The 26,812-nt window shown below is 37.1% G+C and overlaps 2 protein-coding genes across 29 annotated transcripts in view, besides 1 other annotated feature; one reads left to right on the plus strand and one right to left on the minus strand.

Moving 5' to 3' along the window:
• The window catches only part of MAPK10 (mitogen-activated protein kinase 10), a 583,670-nt gene extending 566,695 nt beyond the window's left edge, over window positions 1-16,975 (minus strand). For all 5 annotated transcript variants that reach the window (XM_047415964.1, XM_047415966.1, XM_047415967.1 and 2 more), the window contains exon 1: window positions 16,811-16,975. In XM_047415964.1, coding sequence (XP_047271920.1) covers window positions 16,811-16,846 — 36 coding nt within the window. In that variant the 5' untranslated portion in view covers window positions 16,847-16,975. The remainder of the gene's footprint in view (window positions 1-16,810) is intronic.
• Window positions 16,867-17,453: an enhancer, noted in NCBI's record as "H3K27ac hESC enhancer chr4:87515119-87515705 (GRCh37/hg19 assembly coordinates)". NCBI's record gives its function as "activates a minimal SCP1, AML or CMV promoter by ChIP-STARR-seq in primed H9 embryonic stem cells {active_cell/tissue: H9 hESC(primed)}" and the evidence as "EXISTENCE:reporter gene assay evidence [ECO:0000049][PMID:30033119]".
• PTPN13 (protein tyrosine phosphatase non-receptor type 13) overlaps window positions 17,216-26,812 on the plus strand; it is a 220,847-nt gene continuing 211,250 nt past the window's right edge. For 23 of the 24 annotated variants that reach the window (XM_011532165.3, NM_080685.3, XM_017008511.3 and 20 more), the window contains exon 1: window positions 17,216-17,690. The gene's annotated coding sequence lies outside the window, so the exon portion shown is untranslated. Of the gene's footprint in view, window positions 17,691-23,360; window positions 26,792-26,812 lie in introns of those variants that run through there. The other variant, XM_047416036.1, reaches the window with a different exon arrangement.

Consider the following 26,812-nt stretch of genomic DNA (forward strand, 5'->3'; position numbering starts at 1 on the left):
TTTGAGACAAGCTGAGCAATGTAGTGAGAACCCCCGCAACCACCCACCTCTACAAAAAATAATTGGCCGGATGTGATGGTGCACACTTGTAATACCAGCTGCTTGGGAGGCTGAGGTAGGAGGATTGCTTGAGCCTGGGAGGTTGAGACTGCAGTGAGCTGTGATCATGACACTGCACTCTAGTCTGGGTGACAGAGAAAGACCTTGTCTCAAAAAAATTTTTTTTAATTAAAAAGAAAGATGTATGCCATTAAATCAAAAGAGCAAACTAGAAGGAAAAGGACATAAGACTCAGAAATAAAGAATCAAACACACAATAAAGATAAAGAGAATCCCCAGAACAATGATACAAAGAAATTCCAGAATGACATCTATGCAGCAGGCCTAAAGAACAAGTACATATTAGAGTAGGAGAATGCAAAGCTCTAATAAGAAAGTCCCTGAAATGGAAAAATGTGTTTGTTTGCCAACCTTGTTGAGAGGAGATTTATGTTTCTGATAGTTTAGGGACATTTAAGCACACAGAAAACCAAGCAAGCAAACAAAAAAGGACAATTATTTACTCCAGAAGGAAAATAAAATAGCCCAAGAAAATTAATATAATCCAAATACTCTATGCAACTCAGTTTTGAGTAATTACGTGGTTGCAATCGTTATAAAGGCTGAATATTGACAAAATTGAAATTGAGATCATTGAATTGGAAAAACAGGGGCATGAAAGTCTAATGGATAAAACAGAGAAGAAAAATTTTAAATACCATTTTATTGAGTAAATATTTATAGAATATTTATTGTGGTCTAGGCAGTAAGTGCTTCACAAATACTATCCATGTAATCCTGATACTAGGATTAAGGTTAGTATTAATTCCAAGTCAATTGGAATTAAGGTTGGTATTATTAATACCTATATTAATAAGGTAGTAATTTCTAAGGTTGGTATTACTAATTCCAAGTTTGCTGATGAGCGAGCAAAAACACAGAAAATTTAGTTAATTTCCCCAAGATCAGTGGTTTTCAACTGGGGGTGATGTTGCTCCCAACCCCAGGGGACATTTGGCAATACCTAGAGACATTTTTAGTTGTTATAGCTGGGGTGGCAGTGCTGCTGGCATCTAGTGGGTAGAGGCCAGGGATGCTGCTAAACATCCTGTAGTGCACAGTACAGCTCCCTACCACAAATCATTATCTGGCACAAAATATCAATTGTGCTTTGGTTAAGAAATAATATCCAGAATGAAAAGGAATGGCAGTGGGAGAGCTGGGATTTAAATCCCAGCAGCTCTTGACCACCTTACTACTCTGCCTTTCAATAGCAGTCTAATGATGTTGTTTAGAAACATGAAGATAAAATCAGAAGAAAAAGCTGGAAGAATTAAAGTGGTTGCTTCTACAAAGACATAACCTGAGATGGAGAATAAAGGCCATAAACTATTATTGTGCTTTTGTGTGTTGTTTTTCACTGTTCTCTTAAAAGACCTGAAGCACTATTTGAATTGTAATATGCTTATTTTCAAAGGTTAAACTATTTGTGAACATTCAAATCATAGATAATTTTCAGCTTAATTATTGTTTTCCATATTTGAGAGTATTTATTAAAATGCAGTTTATAAGAGTTTTCTAGCAGCAAATATTTGTAATGAATGAAAAGAGGGAAAAAGTTTCATGGAGGAGAGAATAAGAGAACTTTTGTCTTGATTGACGTCTTGCACCTCAAGTTCCAACTTGTGACATAATGAAGCATTTTAAACAGAAAATCTTGAAGATTTTCTGTTTAAAAATCTGGAAGATAGATTACCAACTCTATCATTACATATATTAAAACATCAACATTAGAGGAACAGTGAAGTTGTTCAAGAAAACACTGGAAGTGAGTGAAATAAGGATGACACTTTTATTCTTAATAATTATTTTTAAGTTAATAAATGTGATATAATCTAAAAAGTCATATGGAAAAAACAAATCTAACTTGGAAATTCACCCAATATTTTCTGCCAGTGAGAATGTATCTTTAATTCAACAGGATATACGGCAAAGATAGGAAGAAAGATACAAAGTTTATGTTACTACTACAGCAGTACATTGGATCAGCAGATTATCCCACTCCTTAGCCTCAGAGAAAACAGAAGCCATCTACAAGAAACTTTCCTATCTCTGTTTCCTTACCCACATCTCCATTTTCCTTTCTCAGGTGTTTCTCTTTCTGTTTAAGGTACTTTTTGTTTTCTTTTGTTTTTTCTGACTAGGTAATTTCACATGTTTCAAAAAGTAAAAGATATCAGCATACAGTAAGAAGTCTTGAACCTGCTGCCATGCACATTTACCTCATTCTTCCCAGTTCTCTACAAATAACCATTTTTATAGTCTGAATCCTCTCAGTAATTCTTTATATAAATACAAGCAAATATGGATATGTGTATACACACACACACACACACACACACACACACACACACTTTCTTATATTTCCCATATGCACTCTTCTATGTCTTGCTTTATTTCACATAAAATGTTTTGGGATACAATTTAATATAGCAAAGTCTGGCCACCTTGAAGATACTTATCATTTAACAACTGAGAAAATTTAATTCCAGAGATTATATTTCCATTAAAAATATTAACCACCATAATAATTACTGGACAATTTTTAAGTTTTTCACTTCTCAGATACACTAAAAGAAAAATATTTTTAAAATCAGATGTATGTTTTCTATGTTTTAGATTTTTCTTTTTAAGAGACAGGGTCTTGCTCTGTCACCCAGGCTGGAGTGCATTGGCACGATCACAGCTCACTGTAACCTCAAACTCCTAGGCTCAAGTGATCCTCCCACCTCAGCCTCCCAAGTAGTTGGGACTACAAATGCCTGCCACCACACGGACTAATTATTTTTATTTTTTGTAGATAGAGGTCTTGCTGTGTTGCCCAGGTTGCTCTTGAACTCTGGATTTCAAGTGATCCTCCTGCCTCCCAAAGTGCTGGGATTACCAGTGTGAGACACCGTCCGTGGCCTGTTTTTATGAGTTACTAGTTAAGCCAACTTAAAGAAAAAGTGTACTTTAGCAAGCAGTATGTTTGGAAACAAATTAATAATTAGACTAAATACCCTTTGTATAAAAGTTGGCCGGACGCTGTGGCTCACACCTGTAATCCCAGCACTTTGGGAGACCAAGGTGAGTGGATCACTTGAGGTCAGGAGTTTGAGATCAGCCTGATCAACATGGCAAAACCCCGCTCCTACTAAACATACAAAAATTAGCCGGGCATGGTGGCGTACATCTGTAGTCCCAGCTACTTGGGAGGCTGAGGCAGGAGAATTGCTTGAAGCCAGGAGGCAGAGGTTGCAGTGAGCTGAGATCAGGCCACTGCATTCCAGCCTGTGCGACAGAGCGAGACTCCACCTCAGAAAAAAAAAAGTAAATCAGTGGTCTTAATGTTCTTACTTTGCCTTAATTTTGCATCATTTTCTGTACTTCTAAATTTTAAATATGCAACTTTATCAAATATTTTAATTTCTCTATTTAAAAAAATCCTGAGATAGTCAAAGATCATTTTTCAAATGCTAAAAACCTAAATAATCACATTGAAATCAATTTTTTTCTAGCAAGATTTTAATGGGAGCTAAGGGGCTTGAGATTGTATAAATAAACCCTCCCTTCTACTCCATGCAACATGGATAACTCATGTGGACACACATTTCTTTGAATGGAGCTCAGAATGTGGAGTTGGTAGAGGAGAGAAAGAAAAATGTAACACATGACAACTGTACACCAAGTTAACCCCAACATATCTCTACTTCCTGCGGATAAACAGCCTGATTTGACCTGGAGTTGTGAAATCAAAGGAAGGTGAGAGTTTCTCTGTGGCCCTTCCAAGATTCTCCCAGAGTGCAAAGCCTACCCTAATGCCACAGGAGAATCCTATTTTATAGTCAGTTGTCTTTGAATAAATGGTGTTTTGCTTCAATTCTAAATGAATATTATCTTTTGGGTACATATTAAATTAGTTTCCTGTCTTCTATTTCAAGTGAAAAATTACTTTGCATTTTATGGATTCAACTTATTGCCAGAACTGCTAGAATTGTACTAGCAGACAATCAGAGGGTTTTGCACCATGTCTATTTGACTTTCTTATGGCATATGGACATACCCTTGTCTGAAATTTAAAAAAAAAAATACAGAAAAAAATGGAAAGATCAGCTCTATTCCCTAAAACAGGAAGAGAAATAATTTCAACACATATAAAATAATAAAAGTAAATTCAATATCTATTGAATAACTACCATAGGCAAAGCAATGCAACCTTCTAAAGGTTGAAATTAGTAATGTGTTACTAGAAATATAATAAAAATGTCAAATACAAATTATATTAGTGCTGTAATAAAATTAAGTCGAGATTCTTCAAAATTATATATGTTCACAAGCACAAAAATAACAAAGAAAAATGGTAAGCATGTTGTCAAAATGCAATCGATGATATTTCAATCATGCCACATTTCCCCAGCAGGTGTTCTATTTAAAGAAATTTGTTATATTTATTCTGGTTGTTTTGTATAACTAAGCTATCTTTTTTTTTCAGTTATTGTGTGTGTGTGTGTGTGTGTGTGTGTGTGTGTGTTATTTTGGTGAAGATGAAGTATAAGAACTCTAAATTCTTTATACAACCTCTATGTATCTTTGAATAGACTATCAATTTTTAAAAACATTATTAATTGGACACACCAACTGAGCTGTATGTTCTTATGTGTTATTTGCTGGCACTGATAAGTTTCTGGAAATTAGTAAAACACTTTAAGCTATATATATTATATATATATATATATATATATATATATATATATATATATATATATATTCTAATACTGCAGAGGCATGTGAATCAAGTGGTTTGCACAACTGATGTCCAAACAGGAACTTATTTTTTGTTAAAATATCATTTATCAGGTGCCAAGTGTAATAGGAATTCTCAGGAGCTTCATACTGAATCTACAGGCTTTTTTCTTTGTCTTCAAAAGTACAAGAAATCGTTTATTGTTTGTAATCTGTAAAAGTGAAAGTAACAGCAAATATAAAACGCATTTAGGAAAACAGAAAAAGTAAGCCAAATGTAATCTCTAACTCTTTCAAAATTAAAAATCCCTTTTGAGAAGAAGAAATTTGTAAGTACAAGGCAAATTTGCTAATACGTTTTTGTTTACTTTGTTATAAGTTCAGTATAAAATTAGCATAATTTCCAAGTACTAGATACCATATTACTAATATAAATACATGCTATTTAGAAAGTGATTACTATAGTAGTTTGAAACAGACAAAATCAAGCAAGGGTTTTTGCACATATCTTGCAAATATAAACTTAGAACCTTGATTTTACCAAAATTATACGAACCTTATCTTTATTCATGATCATATCAAATAACTACCTTGGCTCTTTGCCCTCCCAAAACAGGCCTCCTTTTCCTTAAAGCTATTCCATTTACTTGGCTTAATCTATAACTAGAGCAAGACTGAAATAATCATCTATGTCATCTAAAAAAACCACTTACACAAACGACACTGTGGGAAAAGAGAGAGGCAGTGGCCTGGCACTGATGACTGTCAAACAGGAATTGGGAACTAAACCAATGAGCCCTCAAAGACTGGTAATTTGATAGGACACTTTCTATAGTAGCTGAGAAAACAATGATACTTTACATAAAATTTAATCTTTTATAAGATTTTTGCATTTTAGTTGATAATTTATATTTTTATCTTACTACTGTGGTTATATTTGAATGTGTTATTAATATAATTAGGTGATATAAATAAAATTAACATATTATTTTATGAAAATATTATTGTATTATTCAAAAACCAAATAATCATTTAAAATTTTTTGTTAAATTGAAATAGCTCATAAAGATCTTTCTTATTTAATTAGTGATTGATGGAAAAACTTATTGTTACTACATCCAAATAACCTGTTCACCCTACCCTCACCACCCAGTGAACACTAACTCTGTCTGTAGTACCCCCATGTAGTACAGTACCTAAAGTACCTAAGTAGTTTACTTAGGTAGTACAGTTACCTAAGTAAACTAACATATATTTTCTTTTCTTTTTTTTTGTATTTTTAGTAGAGACGTGGTTTCACTGTATCAGCCAGGATGGTCTCGATTGCCTGGCCTTGTGATCTGCCCGCCTCGGCCTCCCAAAGTGCTGGGATTACAGGCGTGAGTCACCACGCCTGGCCCCCATATATTTTCAATCCCTTCATCTCATGCCTACCTTTTCTAGAAGCTAGAAAAGCTATGTACTTGCTTCCTTGCTTTCCTTGCAATCAGAAGTGGTCATAAGACATAATTCCGGCCATCAATATGTAGGTGAAAGAATACTAGAGAGAAGTCTTTTGGGGGAAAGTCAGTTTTTCTACATTAAAAAAACGCAGTTTTCCATCATTCTTTTTCGGTCTTGAAAGAGGATCGAATGTGTGGAATTGCTGCAGTCCTGTTATGACTTTAAGAGGAAGGTAAAGATAATTGCAGTGATCCTGGATTGGATATTGTTGAGCTACTGCACTGTCAGAAGCAGTTGCCTATTACCTGGTTTCTAATGTGAGAAAATAACCCTTTCTGTTTAAGCCACTGCTTATCAGATACTCTGTTACTTGGGGCCAATAGTCTTTCTGATGCACTGCCCTAAAAGAGTTCATATTCTGAGAAAAATATGATCACATGCCCAAAGTAGGTAACAGTGCTTTAAATAAAAGATATCTTTTATCTTATCTAAATTGAGGTACCCACCTTCCACCCCCTTGTAATATCCTGATTATCAGAGTCTAGCTATTTGCTGAAAGAAAGGGCTGGTGATTTCTCAAAGAAAGGGCTGGTGAATGAATTTATGCATAGATGTGTTTTACTTTTGGTTAAAAGACAGGTAATGAATGTATGAATGTGTGTGAGTGTGTGTATGTCTGTGTGTGTGCATGCATGGGTGTATGTAGGGTGATAATCCATATAAAATAGTTAATTTTATTAGAGACTTTGTGATATAGTGAACCCAACTGGTGCTGCTTCAAGAACCAACTGACAAAGTATGGCACAGTGGTGGCCTCACTTCTGCAGTTAAGCCCAGCCCAGCTCTAGCTCTTTGGTAGGCAGTTTGGGAATCACTGAGAGACAATCCCTACAACATCAAGATTAATTCTGTCACAGAGGGTATAAGCAGCAGCAGACGTGTCAGGAAACTCTACAGTAAGTGACACTCAGGTATTAAACTTTTAGGAGGTCTAAGTGGAAAAACAAAGGAAGTTTACAGAGCATATATTAATATGTCTTGAAAAATCCTGGAAATATTGGGAGTGGTAAGAAATTTTGGGGAGTATGGAGTTCCTACGAGAGGGTCTCACTCTGTCACCAGGCTGGAGTGCAGTGGCACCATCACAGATCACAGAAGCCTCCACCTTCCAGGCTCAAGCAATCCTCCCATCTCAGCCTCCCAAGTTGCTGGGACTATAGGTGCACACCACTACACCTGACTAATTTTTAAAATTTTTTGTAGAGATGGGGTCTACAGGCTGTTGCCCAGGCTGATCTCAAACTCCTGGGTTCAAGTGATCCTCCCACTTAGCCTCCCAAAGTGCTGAGTTTACAAGTGTGATCCACCTTGCCTGGCCTAAATTTGCATTATTAATGTAACTGGAATCTAGTTTGTAGACAAACTGACAGGGTTATGAAGAAGGTGATTTTTGGTTAACAGATACTTTAACTCTTCACCCAATTCAAGCTGCTATTGGTGAAGAGAAGCTTGAAGCTGCTATTGAGAAGACTTTTATCCAATAAAAGTCTTGGATTAAAAGTCCAAGACAGTAGCTCAATAATATCCAATCCAGGACTTTTATCTAACACTTTTATCCAACTTTTAATCCAATTCAAGCTGCTATTGAGAAGACTTTCCCATTAAGAGAACTGGACCGGAGAAAGGAAGATTATTCAAACAAGAAAGCAAGAGAATGCTTATTGAAAGCCGAGTAACTGGAGTATATTCTTTGATTAAAGGCAGTAGAGTTTATACTTCTTTAGGTTCATATTAATGGTATACCGTAATAACCATATCATTAGAAGGGTAAAAAGTCTTATTTCCCCCTCCACACTCCAAGACTCTGTATGCAGTAGTAATCTCTCTTCATTTTTTAAAAATGAAATTGAATGCTATGGAAAGACAAATCATTGCCACAAATTACTATGGGCAAGAAAACTGGAATATATTACAAAAATATATTTAATGGAAGCATTCTAAACTCATTGTTTCACAAGTGTCCTCAAGCTATATGTTCCCTTTAACAAAAACTAAAACAAAAAACTGTTGGTTTTGCATTATGGAAAGTGTTTATGTAAATAAGACAATCTAGAACTCCCAACAGTAGATCGATGGTCAAAAGGCCTTGGCCCAGCATCCAAAGACTGGCTAATGAATGCATAACGGTAGGTTTTTAGTGAAAATATAATGCTTACATCATATATGTATAATATTTTATAGTTCTCTACTTTAACTTTTTAGAATAGCTGAAGAACTACTCATCCTAATCGTTTCAGCTCTCTAAGACAAATTTCCCCTCTTCATGTTGTTGAATGTGGCAGGTTCCCCTTTTAATATGAATATCGTAAGTCTGGGTTTGGCTCTAGATTAATAACTAGTCTCTGTAGATATGACCATTTTCCTCCTAAGTTTTCTACTAGACATTATAGGGGGAGATGTAAAAATCAAGACAATCGACTTAAAAAAATTATTTTCAAGTGATGCCTGTTTAAATTAAATGCTCTAATTCCACCTAACAAAGCCTTTAATTATCAATTTTCTTGCACAGCAGCTCACTCCCATCAGACAATATGAAATCACACTCTTTAAGACAGAAGATAAACTAGAAAGCTTAACTTCTGTCTTGGTCTTCATTTCTGGGAACACTTTTACAAATCAAGATTAGCAGCCATGAACCCTAAGGCAAGTCCCTGTGGGTCAGGATTAGAGCATATTCACATTAAATTACTTAGTATATGTTCTAACATGGCTAAGTTTCAAAAATACAGAAGGGTTATGCTTATTTGCCATATTCCCTTCAACCAAACTGAATAGGCAGTTACATAACTTGCCAGGACAAGTAGTAGAAATGAGTCAGAGACAGGACCAACCCTAGTAAAAATTGTGAATTAGGCAGTTTGACTTCAGTGCCACACCCCTTTAGTACTACATATACTTCCTTGATCCCCTCCCTTGGTATCATCAGCCCCGAGGGCCACCCTCATACCACATACCTCTCCCCCACCAAATTCCTCTCTCTGTCTTTCACTCATCATCGAAACTGGCTTCCCCTCTTTCCTACTTCCCCTTCGTTAATTTGAATTTGCAGCTCCAGTATCTCTCTCCTTTAGGGTTTAAAATGACAACTAACTAATCTGATAAACCAATCCACATTAACGTGTGAAGAGAGAAAGCTAGAAAATAAAGTGAATTTTAACTATGACTTTCTAAAGATAAAACCTTTGCAGTTTAACTCATTAATAACTAAAAGTGAGAATTTCTAGCCAAAAAATTTAGGTGAGGGAAATGTTTTGGTTCGGGTAGAGCCTTGAAGCACCTGGAAAATCAAGTAAGAATAGATGGTTGCTTTTATGGTGTAGCCAGCTCTAATAAGTGTAACTGACTAGCCCTGGTCAGTTTGGGGCCAGTAGGGGAAAACGGGAAATAAGCTAAATATACAAAAGAAGTTCATTTGCAAAGAAAAGTGGAAGTTACAGGAGCACCACAATTAAATTTTTCTGTCTTAGTATTTCATAGATCTAGCGAGTCCTGGTGCCTGTAAATATTTTCCAAAGTTTCTCTTCAGAACGAAAAAATTAAGTCCAAAAATTATCTCAAGCCTAAAATATCCAGCAATTCCAAAAACCTGTAAAGCTTTTTGTTGTTTGGCTTTAAAAAATAGTGGCCTAAAGCTTACAGTTTTCATGCATATATTGTATTTGCTCCTGCTGAATATTGAAAAAACATTACAGGCTATCATGTGTGGAACATATTCGCTATTCTTATTTCCTTCACTTTACAAATGAGGAAGATACTCAAAGAAGTTAAGTGGCTTGCCAAGATTTGTACTTAGGTTTTCTGAGTGCAAACGCTGTGTTCTTTTCAATGTACTTTGTCCCAGTGTTTAGTTATCTCTGTCATTTCTGTCATGTGACTCTGCATCCTAGGGGAATTCTCAAATTTTAAAGAGCGTTCAGCTACTACCAAAAGAAAATAACTTTTGTATTCAATGGACCTGAAGGTAATTCTAGTCCTATCTGGTTTCTATCACTGCATTTTTTTTCCCCAGCTAATTCTTGGTTCACTTGGAAGTGTTAGTATTGCCTCACAAAGTCTTCCTTAAGCACTGTCAGAATTTGTGCTTCAATTATCTGCTCATGTTTTAGTGGATTACTTATCTTGCTTCTGCTTCTCACCTGGGCAACGTTCCCATCACAGCTCTTACTCTGTAAGCAAGAAAGGATAATATGCTCCTGGGCTTAAAGTAGGGAAAAACACTAACATAGTTGGTACAAGCCAGAATGCAAATATTTCACATTGAGATGAACACAAGAAGCCAGCTGGGAAAACATTGCTATTTACAGATTTAGATTAGCCCAGAATTCATTTCAGCCTTTGAGGTAAAAGGTGGCATTTAAAAATCACTGGCATTTAAAACACACACTCTTAACACTTTGGAGAGATATAGACCCCTTTGTGAATTTGTCAAAAAATTATGGATGAAGCTGGGTGTGGCAATGCGTGCCTCTAGTCCCAGCTACTTGGTAGGCTGAGGCTGTAGATTCACTTGAGCCCAGGAGTTTGAGGCCGCTGTGTAGTATGGCTGTGCCTGTGAATAGCCACTGCACTCCAGCCTGAGCAAGAGAGCAAGACCCATCTTTTAAAAGGAGAAAAAAAGTATGGACATTTTCCCTAGAAAAAAGCACAATCACACATACCTGGAATACAGTCTGGGGGCTCCATTATGTGGTTGTCCATGGGTCCAACATAAAATACTGGAATACAGTCTGGGGGCTCCATTATGTGGTTGTTCATGGGTCCAACATAAAATATTCTTGAGTTAGAGTGTGTCATGAGTACGGTCCCAAAGTGATGAACAACCCATATGCCACTTAAAGGCCAATATTTATTATGGCCAGCTTTCTAATTTCCTTAGTAGTAGCAGCAATAAATGATGTGGATCTTTTATAACAAAAGTAACATATGGTTGTAAAGATTTTTTTTAATTTCAGAAATGCAATGTTTTCCGTAATTATAATCCTCAAACAGTTAACAGAAAAATATCTCCATATATATTTATAGATATAGGTATTTTTAAACAGAAATCAGATCATACTATATGGCAACTTGATTCTGTTGCTAGATCATATATATTGGTTTACCAGAGTTTAATCATTCTGTTAGCATGGACATTTATTTTGTTTTTGATTTTATAACTATCAACAATAAGGCAATGAATATCCTTGATCACATATCTGGTCATGTATATAAATATATGTAGGATAAATTTCTGAAGTAGAATAAATTAAAGGATACAAACATAAATTGTGAAAGACATTGAAATTGTACTTCCAAATGGAATAAACTAACCTATGATCTTTCTATTACTTACAGAAACTTTTTATTATATTTTATGTAGTAAAATGTACAAATTATTTTAAGTTTTTGGTTTTTATCACGTGTAGAAACAAGACTCAAATGCTCTAAATAAATTCACTCATACCTCCTTCTAGTATGTTATGACTCAGATTTTTATATGGAAATCTAAATGTTATTAAACAGAAAAGAGCTTAAGGGTAGATCCTAGAACATACAGGAATTTGAATATGATACAGAGAGGATTTCGTTTCTGTGGGGGGAAAGCTGAATTATTAGGTAAAGATGTGGGGACAAAGGGGTCGCTGCTGCTACCACCAAAATAAATTCCATATGGATGAAAGAATAAAATGTGAAAAACAAAGCCATAAAAATTTTAAAAGAAAATATGGGAGAATATTTTTGGTAACAGAAAAAAAAATGGCTTTTAAGCAGAGAAAAATATCCTCAAATAGAATAGAAAATTATAACTGTAATGAGATATCATTTTACATCTATTAGACTGGGAAAGATAAAAACAGTTTGATAATGCTGTATTGGTGAAGATGTGGGGAAACACAGTATGCTATCAAACTTTCCGTCTTTGTTAGGATGACTGGAACTTGTACCACTTATCTGGAAGGCAGCCCGGTTTTGTCTATCAAAATGTAAAATGTGAGCGGGCACAATGGTCCAACGCCTGTAATCCCAGCACTTTCGGAGGCCGAGGCGGGTGGATCACCTGAGGTCAGGAGTTGGAGACCAGCCTGGCCAACATGGTGAAACCCCATCTCTACTAAAAATACAAAAATTAGCCGGGCGTGGTGGCTTGTGCCTGTAATCCCAGCTATTCGGGAGGCTGAGGCAGGAGAATCGCTTGAACCCAGGAGGCGGAGGTTGTAGTGAGACGAGATTGCGCCATTGCACTCCAGCCAGTGTGACAAGAGCAAAACTCCGTCTCAAAAAAAAAAAAAGTAAAGTAAAATGTTCTTTAATCTAGCAATTTTACTTCTAGAAGCTAAACCTACAGATGTACACCACATGTAAGCCAGAATCGTTTACAAAGAGATATATTTCAACTTGAAACCCCGTCTCTACTAAAAATACAAAAAATTAGCTGGGCATGGTGGCAGGCGCCTATAGTCCCAGCTACTCGGGAGGCTGAGGCAGGAGAATGGCGTGAACCCGGCAGGCAGAGCTTGCAGTGAGCCGAGATCGCGCCACTGCACTCCAGCCTGGGCTACAGAGCAAGACTCCATCTTAAAAAAAAAAAAAAAAGGGAATAGCAAAGACTTGGAAATAACGTATATGCTCATTGAAAAGTGAGGAGTTAAATAAATTATGCTACATCTAAGCAAGAGAATACTACACAGCCTTTCAAAAGAACTAGGCTCATCTAAAGCATCTGATAACAGAAATAAAATACATATTATGAAGTTAAAAAATCAATATACTAGATGAGTAATATCCTTTGGAAAAGGATATTTAGGTGTGTGTGTCTGAAAAGATACACAAGAAATAACTAGGTTTCTCAACACCGTAACCTGAATGATACACATCATCCCGCCCTTTGCCTGTACCTAGTTGACTGCTTGAGCCTGCTGCTAATCATTCTAATTTATACTTTATTTTAATATTTTTTATGTAACTCCCACTCATTTATTTTCTTTTTAAGACTCTTCTTATTTTTGAATGGCACTCTTCCAAATGAATTTTTAAATCATTTTATCAAATTCCTAAAAGTATCCTGTTGGACATTTGATTAGAATTATACTGGATAGGCTGGGTGTGGTGGGTCACACCTGTAATCCCAGCAATTTGGGAGGCCAAGGAGGGAGGATTGCTTGAGCCCAGGAGTTTGAGACTAATCTGGGCAACATAGCAAGACCCCTCTCTACAAAACTTTTTTAAAAAATTAGCTGGGCATGGTGGTGTGCACCTGTAGTCCTAGCTACTTGGGAGGCTGAGGCAGGAGGATAGCTTGAGCATAGGAGGTTGAGGCTGCAGTGAGCTGTGACCACACTACTACACTCCAGCCTGGGTAACAGAGCAAGACCGTGTCTCAAAAAAAAACAACAATAAAAAACCCAAAAAATTATACTGGATATATAACTTACTTTTAAAAGATAATTATACATTCTTTCAACCTTGGTATTTAATTTAAAAGAAGATTGCTTTTTTATTTCAAACATTGTTATTTCTCATAAGTCTGTCATGATTCTAAAATTTTTTTTAGAGAAGGGATCTTGCTGTGTTGCCCAAGCTAGCATGCAGTGGCTAATCATAGGCACAATCATAGTCCACTACAAATTATATCATTTTTAAAGTATGTCTTATAACTTTTGTTTATATTTTACATTATGTATGTATTTATTTTTTTTAAATAAAGATGGGGTCTTGCTATGTTACCCAGGCTGGTCTTGAATTCCCAGGCTCAAACAGCCCTCCTGCCTTGGCCTTCTAAAGTGCTAGGATTACAGGCGTGAGCCACCATGCCCAGCCAGTTTTATAAATTTATTTTAGTGTTTATTTTTAGCTACTTAAATTTCTGTGGCTACTGTAAGTGGGATGGATTCTTTTTATATTGTATTTTCAAATTGGTTATGATAATACATGAGAAAGCTCTTGATTTTCATATGTTTTTTTATTATTATTATTATTGTTATTTTTGAGACAGGATCTCACTCTGTTGCCCAGGCTGTAGTGCAGTGGTGGGATCATGGCTCACTTCAGCCTCGACATCCTGGCCTCAAGCAATCCTCCCACCTCAGCCTCCAGAGTACCTGGGACTACAGGTGCATCCCACCATGCTTGGCTAACTTTTTTATTGTTTGTAGAGAAAGGGTTTCACCATGTTGCCCAGACTGGTATTGAACTCCTGGACTCAAGTGATCTGTCCACTTCAGCCTCCCAGAGTGTTGGCATTACAGGCATAAGCCACTGTGCCCCACCCCCCGTATGTTAATTTTATAACTAGTTATCTTAATTTATCTTTTATTGCCTCTAAAAGCTTTTCAGTTGATGCTTTGGAGTTTTCATATTATTTGCAAACAAATGACAACCCTGACTTATTTACAGTACTTAATTTCTTATTTCTATTTTATATCTAATTGCATTGGCTATCGTTTCTATTGTTACAATGTGATGGTGAACATTCTTGCCTTGTACTTGACTTCAATAGGAATAATTATGATGTTATGTTATAAAGGAAGTGGCTGGCTTTAGTATAACATATATATATATTTAAATTATTACAAATTCTAATTTTTATTGGGAATGATGCTGGACTTTACAAAATCCTTTTCAGCATCAACTGAGATCCTCATAATGTTTTCCTCCTTTGACTTACTAATATAATCAAGCATATGAGAAAATTTTCTGTTATTGAACTATTGCCATAACTATACACATGAAATAATTTCTCTTAATTTTGTTATATTATTTGTAATGTAGTGCTGGGTTCCATTTGTTAGTATTGACTTTTACATTATATCCAAAAGGAATTTAACCTGTAGATTTCCCTTGTGTGTACTTTTTAACAGATTGTATTTTAAAACCAGTCTTTCAGCTCATCCAAAACAGAGGGATTACTGGTGAAAATGCCTTGAGGGCAACCACCTGAAATGGCCTTAATAAAAAAAAAAACACGAAGAAGAAAAAGAAAAGGAAAAAAGCTAACAACACTGTGGTTTGTCTACTTTTGCGGAAATTTACAACACTATACTTGCTATACCTTCTTTCTGATGTGAATCCACAAGCTATTGCAGCCATTAATTAAGGATATTGCTTTTCTTTCCAATAAATACATGAACTTTCTTTCAGAGGCAAACAGAGACAGATGTTTCATGAAAGTTTCTGTTCTTCCCAACCTGCCTTTCCTACCTCCCTGATAGATGATCCAGAACATTTAAAAATGGGGGAAGAACTGAGAAAAGGGCTCCAATCATCCACTTGTGTTTCCCATCCAAGGAGCCTGGCCTGTTATTTACTTTCACCACTTATCCCTGCTGCTGCTGTTTAGTTTTTGTTGTTCCCCTCAACTGACTTTCCTCATCTTTGCTGCATTCATCAAAGCCCAGTGTAAATTCCCCTCTTCCATAAACTGAGGAATCCAGCCCATTTTACATAGCAAACTTTCTCTTAGCTGCTACCTACTCAAAGTTTGGCTGCACATTTTAGCTATAATTGTTCTCAAATTGTTTCAAGAGTGCTAGTTTTCTTTCTTAGGCTCCAGGTTAGCTCCTTGGGAGCGGGGACTTAGCTTAAAATCCTGCTGTGTATTTTCCGTTGTGTTTAGCCCTATGAGTAATCACATTCAATGCATACTTGTAAGGCATATTTGACTGAAGATATCTATCATAGTTATTCATTTAGTAAATGATATAATGAAAACTCAAGTGCTCGCCAAAGATAAATCATTACTATTAATTCCCTCATTCATCATACATGTATGGCAGCCTCAGGGGCTAGGGAACCTAGGATTGCTGCTTTGACTTTTTTTGGGGAAGCCAAATAAGCCTCAGATCTCTCCACTTTGGAGCCAGCCATGAAATTCAGATTTACCTAGGGCTCAACATTAAGGGTCTCAGACTAAATTTATCTTCAGGTACCCTTTCCAGAGTGGACCAGTTTACCTTATACCTCTGAGAATAACCCAAAACTTTCAAAACTCAAATCACAGGATATTATTTGTTCATGAATTCAGCAAGACTCTCTTGTTTAACTATTGAAACTCAAATATTTCGGCTTGCAGCAAGGAGGGGTACAGCTGTCTGGATATACCTTGGCCAAATTTCAGTGTATATAGAAAAGTGGGAGGTTATCGACTATGTTAAACCTTTTCCTTAAATTTTCAAACTTCGGGATTATTTTAGTCTCATAGATAAAATAACAAGGCAAGTATTTACAAACTTTTTTCAAAAATATGAGAATTTCAGTTTTCCCTAGGGCATTTGGCGTTGTGCTGTCACCACACTTTTGAAGATAGCTTTACAACCGTGGGAAAACTCACCGGGCTTTTTTCGTTGACCCCGCCATTTCTAAGTTGCTATATTGCTGCAAGGAGCTGGCAAAGCCATGCTCTTCCTCTCCCCCATTCTCCTCTTCCTTTCAAAGACCAAAGCGCCCCGTGAGAATATAGAAACAAGGCTGAGAGGCAGCGAAGAGTAAGGGAGGAGCCAGCACTTACGCATTTTTCACTCTCCTCCTCACTCCCTAGGGTCATAGTTTTGATTCTGAAGTTAGAAGTGTGGGGGTCGTCGGCTGCATTTTCAACTTGGCCTAAAAGTTGGAGTTCACCACACTGCAGGCGCTAGGAACTCTGCCGCTCGGTCACCAACCTGAGCCTCTGGCTAGTCCGAAGAACGCGAAAAGCCAGGCCCAAGGCACTGGTTGTCATGGCAACCGGGGCGCTGGTCTCCCTGGCGACCTCGTCCCTAGGGAGGAGGTGGAGCTGGATGCCAGGCGGGCCAATGAGGTCGAGGGGAGCTCGGGGTGGGAGATCTGCGGTCCTCCCAGTGCCGGGGAATGGTTGAGTGACAGGACCGGGGGGGCGGAGCCGGCGCGGCTGCCCGAGGTGGAGCCCCAGTGGTGCGAGTAGCTCCAGCGGCCACGCTGAGGCGAGGGTGACACACCATGCTCACGGCCCCTGGAGACCGTCGTGCTGGCGAGCCGTGCTCCGTAGCTCCCCGGTCCGCCTCGGCAGCGGTCAGAGTCGCCTACAGGAGTTGAGCCGCCCGCGCCAGAAGGTTTTGGCGAAGCTCTTGGAGAGGCGTCGAGCACAGTAGGGCGGCGGGGGTGCGTTGAGCGCTCGGGGGTCAGGCAGTCGGCCGGGATCGCCGCTGGGGAGCGTTTCCGAGGCGAGGAGGAGGAGGAGGAGATGCTGCTCCTCTTCTCCCCCTCCCCAGGCTCCTTCTACAGCTCCTTCAGCCCACGCCCGCAGCCGCTTGTGGGAGAAGTGGTGGTGGCTCTCGGCGCCCGCGGCGGCTGCCGGCGGCCCGCCCCGACGCCGCGTCCCTGCAGCCCTCGCCCGGCGCTCCAGTAGCAGGACCCGGTCTCGGGACCAGCCGGTAAGGACGAGAGCCGCCCTGGGCTCTGCGCTGCATGTGCAGAAGTGCAAAACAAAGTACATTGCGCTCGTTCTCTTCCTCCTCTCTCTGCTTTCGCTCCAGTCCCTAAACCCAACTCCTCGGTTGCCCTGGTAGAAGGAACTTTTCTTTGGTTTTGGTGGTGGGTGTTTTTGTACGTTAGAGTGGGGGTGGGGTGACTGGAGTGGGGAAGAATGAGATGAAACTCCATTGCTAATTAGGTAGATCCATCTCCTCTGCGGAAGAAAGCCGGATTCTCGGGAATGAAACCCACAGGGGGAGTAAGAGATTGTGGGGTAATAGGGAGTGACATTGCCCCGTCGTGCTTGCACAGCTCCGCTCTGTGCGTGCTTAAGGGAAGGGCTCCCGGAGTCTGTTTCTAATTTCTGCAAATGATTGTGGAGATGGTGTGGTTAGAGGCCGCCCAGAAGAATGTGTGTGTAAGGGCTCGAGAAGGGGGTGGGATGGCGGGGAAGCAGAGGAAGAGGGGGCAGAGGGAGAGACACTGTCTGATGCAAGGTCTTTTATTGCTTTTCTTCTGCTTGCTAAAGTTAACACTCTACCCTCCGGCCCCCTAGCCCCACCGCTTTGCTCATTACGTGATACTGTAAGAGCAGACAGCTGGGAAGCTAAAGTTAAACCAAAGTCAAGAAAATTCTTACAAAGTTTAATTTCCTTCTGTTGTGAATATAATGGAGAGAGGAGGATGGGGAGAAATATCACTAAGAGATTTACAGCAATACAGTTTTCATTGGCCATACACGTATATGATCGACACCACCGCACACTTCCAACTAATCTGTTCGACAGCCTTGTGTCATTTTCATTTAATTGCATCTTTGAAACAACAAACGCGGTGACTTCATAGGGAGCTGCCTGGAGCTGAGCTCCCTCGCAGAAAATGGGGCAATCGGGTTTGTTTTCAAGGCAGGACCTGAACAAAATGTAGGACACCTGATCTGTGGGATGAAGGGCGCTGGTAACTAATTATAAATTTTAAGATTTTAAAATTTATATCTAGAAAGTTTACTAAAGGATGGGGGGGGGAGTAAAAGTGCATGTATTATGAAACAAGCTTAGGTATTTTCCTAAAGTCTTCATGACTGTGTTGGCAGGGTCCAGGTGAAAACTTGCTTCATGCTCATTGGCTGCTTGTAGTGGTGCCAATATACAAATTATTTCTCGTTTTAATATCACTAGGAGCATTTGTTAGTAAATTCATACATATATTGATTTAGTAAATTTATACAGAGGCGCACTGACTGACGTCCAATCTTGTTTATTATACTTTGTTCATAACATTGTGTTCTACTTGATGTTCTAGAGGCTTTGTGGGAGTATGTGTGGGGAGAGGATAGGATGGAAATTAGAACTAAAAACAGAAAAATATTTGAGGTTAGTTGTTAAGAAAAGGACTGATTTCATAGTGTTTTTCACTTTTACAATTAGAGAATGATAGCTTGCTTTACCATTATGTAGGTTTATCTTTGAATTTGCATTTGTCCCACCATTTTTACTTGCATGTAAAGCCTAGTTATATTTTGGAGGGTGATTACCAGCATCCAAAAATATAAATGGCTTTTCATGTCACAAGTAACATACACGCACACCATTAAAACCAGTGTCAATTTAAAAGTCAGATTTTAATTCTATGATGGGGTCACGTTATAAAACTTAGGTCATCTTTTTGTTGTTGTTTTTGAGGGCTGCCTCCTAAATACGGTATGTGAATGTGAGAATTAGCTAATCATTTGTTTTGGAGTAGATAATATAAATGATAGGTGTTCATCTTTAAATGAATGAAATTTATGTATTCTTTGTTATTGAGAAAAACGGGTGTTGATTTGTTCTGTCTTTAATGTGTTAAGGATTGGATGGGGAAGTGTTGTAGCTTCTCCCGTATCAATGGGGTGTATATTTTTCCAGCTCATCTTAGTGCCCAGCCCCAAATGTACTGGAGAGAAGGACTGTAAGGGATAAACTATTACTTCTTTTTTTTCCTCTTCACCCTCTTCTTTTGACAGAGGGTGTAATTTTTAAATAAACCCCAAAACATTTTTATGCATAATTAAATTATAATTAACACCATTTGAAATGAAAAAGAAACACAACCATACTCCAAGCCAGTGCATTTAGTAGTTACTCCTGTCAACATATTCTTGTTTTGGAATATGCTTTGGGAGAACTCTGTGTAGTTCAAAGTATTCTCCTGTTTGCCTCTGATGCAACCAAGTACGACTCATTTGAGTTAATATCACTTTACAAGGTAGGGGCCTGAGAAAGGAGAAAAGATAATGGGCCTTAGGATAGAAGAATCAGTGCTGATGGAAATGACGAGAATCTTTTGGGCTGGGCTTCCTTTTTTTTTTTTTTCCCTGAAAAACTCTCTTTTAATTTGAAAATTAAAATGGGTCAAATAACTTAGGAACTAAATGTTTTAAAGATAGCTTTTAAGATAGGGTCTCTGTTGCCCAGTTTGGAATGCAGTGGCTCGATCATGGCTCACTGCTGCCTCAACTTACCAGGCTCAAGCAATCCTCCTAACTCAGCCCCCAAAGTAGCAGGTACCACAGGTGTACAACACCACACCTAGCTAATTTTGTTTATTTTATTTTTTTAAATAGAGACAATGTCTCGCTGTATTGACCAAGGCTAAAAGATAGCTTTTAATGAGTACATTAATGTAGGACTTTTAATGGCTTAAGTTAAAGTTGAAAGTTTCATACTAGCTGTAAATGTCCCATCAAAACTCCCGTCTGTAAACTGCTTTGGGAGGTGGAGTTCTAATAATCCTTTGAGTTTGGGAAGAAAATGAAAACACCTTTAAGACCCTTATTCTTGTTTAGTGTCAGGCACTGTGAATAAGCACCCTGCTCTATCCTGCCCAACCCTGTTCCCAAGAATGTGTGACTGTCACTAATAGTAAGGCAGTAGGTGGGCCATTTCTTAGGATAAAAAGAGAAGAATTCCTAAATAATCTTGTATAGAGGCTGGTGTAGATTTAAACCATAAACTTCACATGTTTTTCCCAGAGTTTGCTATCAAATGCATGGGAAATACAGGAACAGGGTCTGGTTCAAGTGCTTGTTTAGATGTGTTTGCCTTATCCTGTGCTCTGCCATTGAATCCTGCTTTTTTAATTTTTGTTTTGTTTTGATTTGTTTTCACACTGGAAAAGTATGAAAATTCTCTGAAACAAACTGTCTCAAAGAAAATCCTTCTGCATAGTATAAAAAGTGTGGAGGACTGCTGTCTGACAAATATGTATCCAAATCCTAGAGACTAAGTTTATTTTTAATAATTTAATAATATATACTTCTCAAGGCTTTTTTGCTTTGTTGTGCTTTTTTTTTTTTTAAGATGGAATCTCGCCCAGGCTGGAATACAGTGGCACAATCTTGTCTCACTGCAACCTCTGCCCCCGATCCTGGGTTCAAGCAATTCTCCTGCCTCAGCCTCCTTAGTAAGCTGGGATTACAGGCGTGTGCTACCACACCTGGCTAATTTCTATATTTTTAGTAGAGACGAGGTTTTGCCATGTTGGCCAGTCTGGTCTTGAACTCCTGACCTCAAGCGATCGGCCTGCCTCAGCCTCCCAAAGTGCTGGGATTACAGGCGTGAGCCACCGTGCCTGGTCCCTCTCAAGGTATTTTGAGGATGAAATTAATATGTGCAAATGTGGTTTAAGTGCAAGCTGACAGTATTTAGTTTGCTTCCTTCCTTGCCAATTTTCTTTAAAAAATTAAATAATCACAAAAACCTATAACTACTCAAATCATTCTTGAATGTGTAACTTGAATCTGGCTGGTGAAAAGGCCCTCTTTACCTACTAGCCAATAAATGTCTTTTGTTGCATACTTCATCTGTGCTTAATAAACAGTTTCTTTTTTTTCCTCCTAGTTTAGTAGTATTCAACTCTGCCTGTACCTTAGAATCACCTGGATAGCTTTTTTAAGTTTTTTAATTTTTTTTTAAGAGACAAGATCTCACTCTGTCACCCAGGCTAGAATACAGTGGTGTGATCATAGCTCACTGCAACTTTAAATTGCTGGGCTCAAGTGATCCCTCCGCCTCAGCATCCTGAATAACTGATACTGCAGGTGCGCGCTATCCAGCTAATTTTTTATTTTTTGTAGAGATAATGGTCTTCCTATGTTACCCAGCCTGGTCTTAAACTCCCTGGCCTAAAGCAGTTGTCCCTCCTTGGCCTCCCAAAGCACGGGGATTACAGATGTGAGCCACTGCACCTGGTCTGGATAGCTTTTAATAATCTCCATGCCCCGGCCTCAACTCAGACTATTAAACCAGAATCATTGTGGATGAGACCCTGGCATCTGTATTTTTAGAAACTCCTTAAGAAACCATAGTCAACTTTGGAACCAATGTTCTAGACTCTACTAGAATAGAGTGTAGAAAATTTGGTTCCCATAAATGCAGCAACATTTTTTGTGTTGGATTATATTTTATATTTATGTATTTTTTCTATATAAATCTTAAGAATTTAAAACACAAAAATGTCTCAGAAGCATCTATGTATATGCCTATCTACAGGCCTTTTTACTATTTGGATGAGAATTTAAGGTACAAATATTTCCCTAGAGCTGTACTGTCAAATGTAGTTTCCCTGGCCATATATGGTATGTAAATTTATATTTTAATTAATTAAAATTAGATACAATTTAAAATTCTGCTTATTACAACTAGCCATATTTTAAGTGCTCAGGAGCCACTTGCAGCTACTAGCTACTGTAGCAAACAGCTCAGATATAGAACATTTCCTCATCACAGAAAGTCCTGTACTGCTTAGAGGTTTTGAAATTTGTGTATGTTTCTTATCATCTGAAATGGCATATATATAATTCCTGTTATTTCCTTCAGATTTATAATTTAAAAATATATTGTGTTATTTTTTAAAGTTACTTTTTTTAAAGTCAGGAGAAATACCACATTTTTTATACATTTCCTCTTTCCTCAGTCTTTTGTACCTAGTTAAAGGTTTTTCTTTTCAAAGTTAACTGAGAAGAGGAAATTTAGTGTCCTTGTTTTTATTACTTATATCAGTATGCTCTAAACCTAACTAATGGCTTAATTGCCCTTGTGTACTGCAAGTTTCAGGTCTGGAAATGTGATGTCCCAAAATACTGAAAATAGTCATCATTTCAACACAAATGTTAGGATTTGATTAAAAGTTTTCCTTTTTGCTAAAGATCCTTTTTCTTTTGCATACAGAAATTCTGAGTTATCAAATGATGTGATTGAGCTTTCAACAGAAAACTGTTTTATTAGTTTTAACATGAGCATAAAGGTGTGAGAGAAAATTTTTTTCTTATAGGGGAAGGCATTTCCTTGAAAAAAATGAGATTCCTAAAGAATTCCCAATGTTTGGAAGCTAAGACTGTGTCATCAAACTTAATGGTATTTGCCACTTGGTAACTACTGATGCACAGCTTACAAGAAACTGCTGTGTGGTTCATCCTATACCCCCTCCTTACACACCTAGAAAAGATGTTTCCTAATCAAAGTTTTATTGGTTTAGTATGCTCTGAGTAGAGTAGGAACAATAATTAATTTCAATTAAAAATATTCCTTCTTGGTAGATGGTATTTTTTTTTTTTACATAACCACTTTTTTTTTTTTTTTTTTTTTTTTTTACCTATTCTGATCAGGTAGATTTGCCTACAGAACACTGGGAGTTATATTGTTGAAAGAATGCTTGATGGAATGTTTTGTGTACGATATCAGTTTCATGTTTTAATGCTTCCCCACTTAGTTGTAATAGAGTCTGTGGAACAAAAATGAAACATTCTTGTTGAACTTAAGGTTAGAATGATTATATAACCTGAGATTGTGTTAAAGATATTCAAAGTTGTGTTCTGTTTTGTTTTTTGAGGAAAGATACAGCCTGGGAATTTTAAAAACTTCTTTTAGCACTATTTAAGTATTTTTGCTTCTTCTAAAAAAGTGTAATTTTAAAAATAAACATTTAAATTATTTAGGGGATGATTATTTTAGGTCTTAGTGTAGTTAAATATTTCTTCTGGAACATATAATGTAATTCAGTTTTTGAAGCAAAAATAATTAGTATTTTAGAACAGAAGTTTCAGTTTTTAATGATAAATTCCCTTGTCAGTGTCTTTTATATTTCTGACTTTAGCTGAGATGTAATTTCATGAAATTATTTGAACACCATATTGATTAAATTCATTCTTTACACAATCTGTTCTAATTTTATTTTGATGCTGATTTCTCTGCCTGGTTCAAGGAATGAGCTTAAAGCAATGTATAACATATGTGAATTTTCTAGTACTCTATGAAAATTTACCAAGACTGAAATGTATTTTTGTAGCTGTACTTCATGAAAGCTGGGACAGGTGGTTTAAAACAAAAACCTAAAAATTAAATAAAAAATCACTATGATAATATAATAGAAACTTTAGTTTGGGAATGTTCGGTTATCAAATCTACACCAGATAAAACTATTGTAGCTATACCATTTACTTGAGTTCCATTGGAGCTTAAATTCTGGCACTGCCTTAAGTAGTATAGAAATGAAAAACAGGATATGTGTTATTACATAGTACCCAGAGATACTGTAACTTCAGTTATAATTTAACATATTCCCCTATGTTCACAGTTTGTGGCATATAATTCTTAGAGTTACAGTGAAAAATTTAGAATATATTATTCTCTAATATTAAAACTTAATATTTAATAGAAATTTCCTTCAATTTTTGAACAAAAGAAAATATTTTAATATGGTTACATAATATATCACACTGATTGTGTGAAGACCAAATTGAGCTCTGTTTTTAAGGTAAGATTTCACCTGAATCTTTTTCAGGTTTATGTTAGTACATCAAACTTTCTAACTTCAAAGGGATTTTAAGATTGTATTGAGATACTAACATTCAATTGAAAAAATGAATACTGCTGTTCTTCCACCGCGGGGATACTTAAGAATCACTGTCTGTGAGCCACAATGTTTGAGGATTTTTCTAGATGAATCTGTAATGATAAATCTGGGCTTATCCAACATTTGTATACCTAGTTCCCTTTTTAATTGTTCCTTATTCATTGATTCCTATTCTTTGCCAGACACTCTACTAGGCACTGGTGGTGCATAGAGAAGACACATTTCCAAGACAGGCAACTTAGGGGAATAGTCTGAGGCCACATAGCTTTAATCATCTGAGTTCATGCTGAATAAATCAATCTATTGGCAGGATGTATTGTACAGAGTGGCTGTGAAGATAATATTAAATAACATGTAAATTGCCTTGTAAAACTTAGCAAACATGTGGGTACCTATCTGAATATATATACAGGTGATTTGTTTTTAGATGTTGCTGTGCATGGTGTTGACCACTCCTGTTTGATTTAGAGAAACAGTATAGTATGGTATTTAAAGCATAGACTAGGAGCCAGAATGCCTGGGTTTTGATCTGACTCTATGGTTTACAAGCTCTGTGACCTTGCCCAAGTTACTTAACCTTGCTGTACTTTATTTTCCTCATCTTCAAAATGAGGATGATAACCAAGCCTACTTTATGGGATTGTTGTGAGAACCAAATGAGTTAATACATGAAAAGCACTTAGAATAGTGCTTAATACATACTATGTGTTTAATAAATATTAGCTATTATTATTTTTAGTATACTTATATTTGATTTATAACAGTTTTTTTAACACGGTACAGGTAATATATGAACTTAAATATGGTTTCTTGTTTCAAAGTTTATAGGCCTACTTTGTTCCTTGGGCCACATGTTCCTTCCAGTCATCGCTTGGGCTTGTTGATACATGTGATGTGTGCCAGATTTTTACACACTTACTAGAACTTGTGAAATGAATGTCATCCTTTTCAAACTACTATAATTATTTTTCTGATTTTTTTTTTTTTTTTGAGACAAGGTCTCAGTCACTCAGGCTGGAGTGTAGTGACCCAATCACAGGTTACTGCAGCACTTCAACCTCCCATGCTCAACTGATCCTCCTACTTCAGCCCCGCAAAGCACTTGGATTACAGGCACCTGCTGCCACACACACCTGGCTAATTTTATTTGTATTTATTTGTAGAAATGGGGTCTCCTTATGTTGCGCAGGCTGGTCTCAAACTACTGGACTCAAGCGATCCTCCTGCCTCAGCCTCTTAAGGTGTTGGGATTACAGGATGAGCTGCCATGCCTGGCCTCAAACTACTCATGTTTAGAACACTGTATTTCCTGTTTAGGAATCACTTTTAGGACATATGGCATATTGTTTTAAACATCCTTTTTGGTGGTATATCTCTTCTTTGAGAGTAGGTTTGATTTAATTAAATAATATATTTTTTCATGTTTTAGAAAGGTGAGTGATAAGAAGTATAATTTGAATTAAAATGAAAAATGGAGTATAAAGTAAAATGAATATTTTAAAAATATCTAAACATAATTAGAAAAGAAGATTCCAAAAATATTTTTGATAACTTGTCCTTGTTTACCCTTCTGAAGTGTCTATTTAGAAAGGTGACACTGTCAGATATATAAATTGTAGTTTGTTAAAATGTACATGTTCACAGTCTCACACAGAATTATTACTTAATATTTGTGAATCTTATGTTGCTATGCTTCTGAGGCTAAGTACTGTGTAATATAACCTAAAATTCTTTAGAAAGTGTTTGTGGTCACATTTCCTAGCTGATATTGTGCATGCTTTTAATAGCTTTTCTGTTAAAAATTATTTGGTATTTCTCACAGAACTTTAAATATGCTCTAATGTATGTTATGAATTCCAAAGATGATATGGTATGTATAATTTTTCATTTATTAACTACAGAATTCATAACACATCTCTTAGCATCTCTTATACCCAGTTCCCTTTTTTAACTATATAAAATGAGTCATTACATTATATGTTTTACATGTCATTTTGTCTTCACAGCTATTCTCTGCAATATATCCTGCCAATAAATTGATTTATTCAGCATGAACTCAGATAATTAGCATCACTCAGATGATGCTAATAAAGTACCTCGACCTAGTGGATATTTAAGAAACTGGATTTACTCTTCAGGGAGACTAGTTCATGGCCATTAAGATCATTTGGTACTTTTGTGCTTTGCATTG

The sequence above is a fragment of the Homo sapiens genome, chromosome 4 (assembly GCF_000001405.40).
Source record: "Homo sapiens chromosome 4, GRCh38.p14 Primary Assembly".
Lineage (NCBI taxonomy): Eukaryota > Metazoa > Chordata > Mammalia > Primates > Hominidae > Homo > Homo sapiens.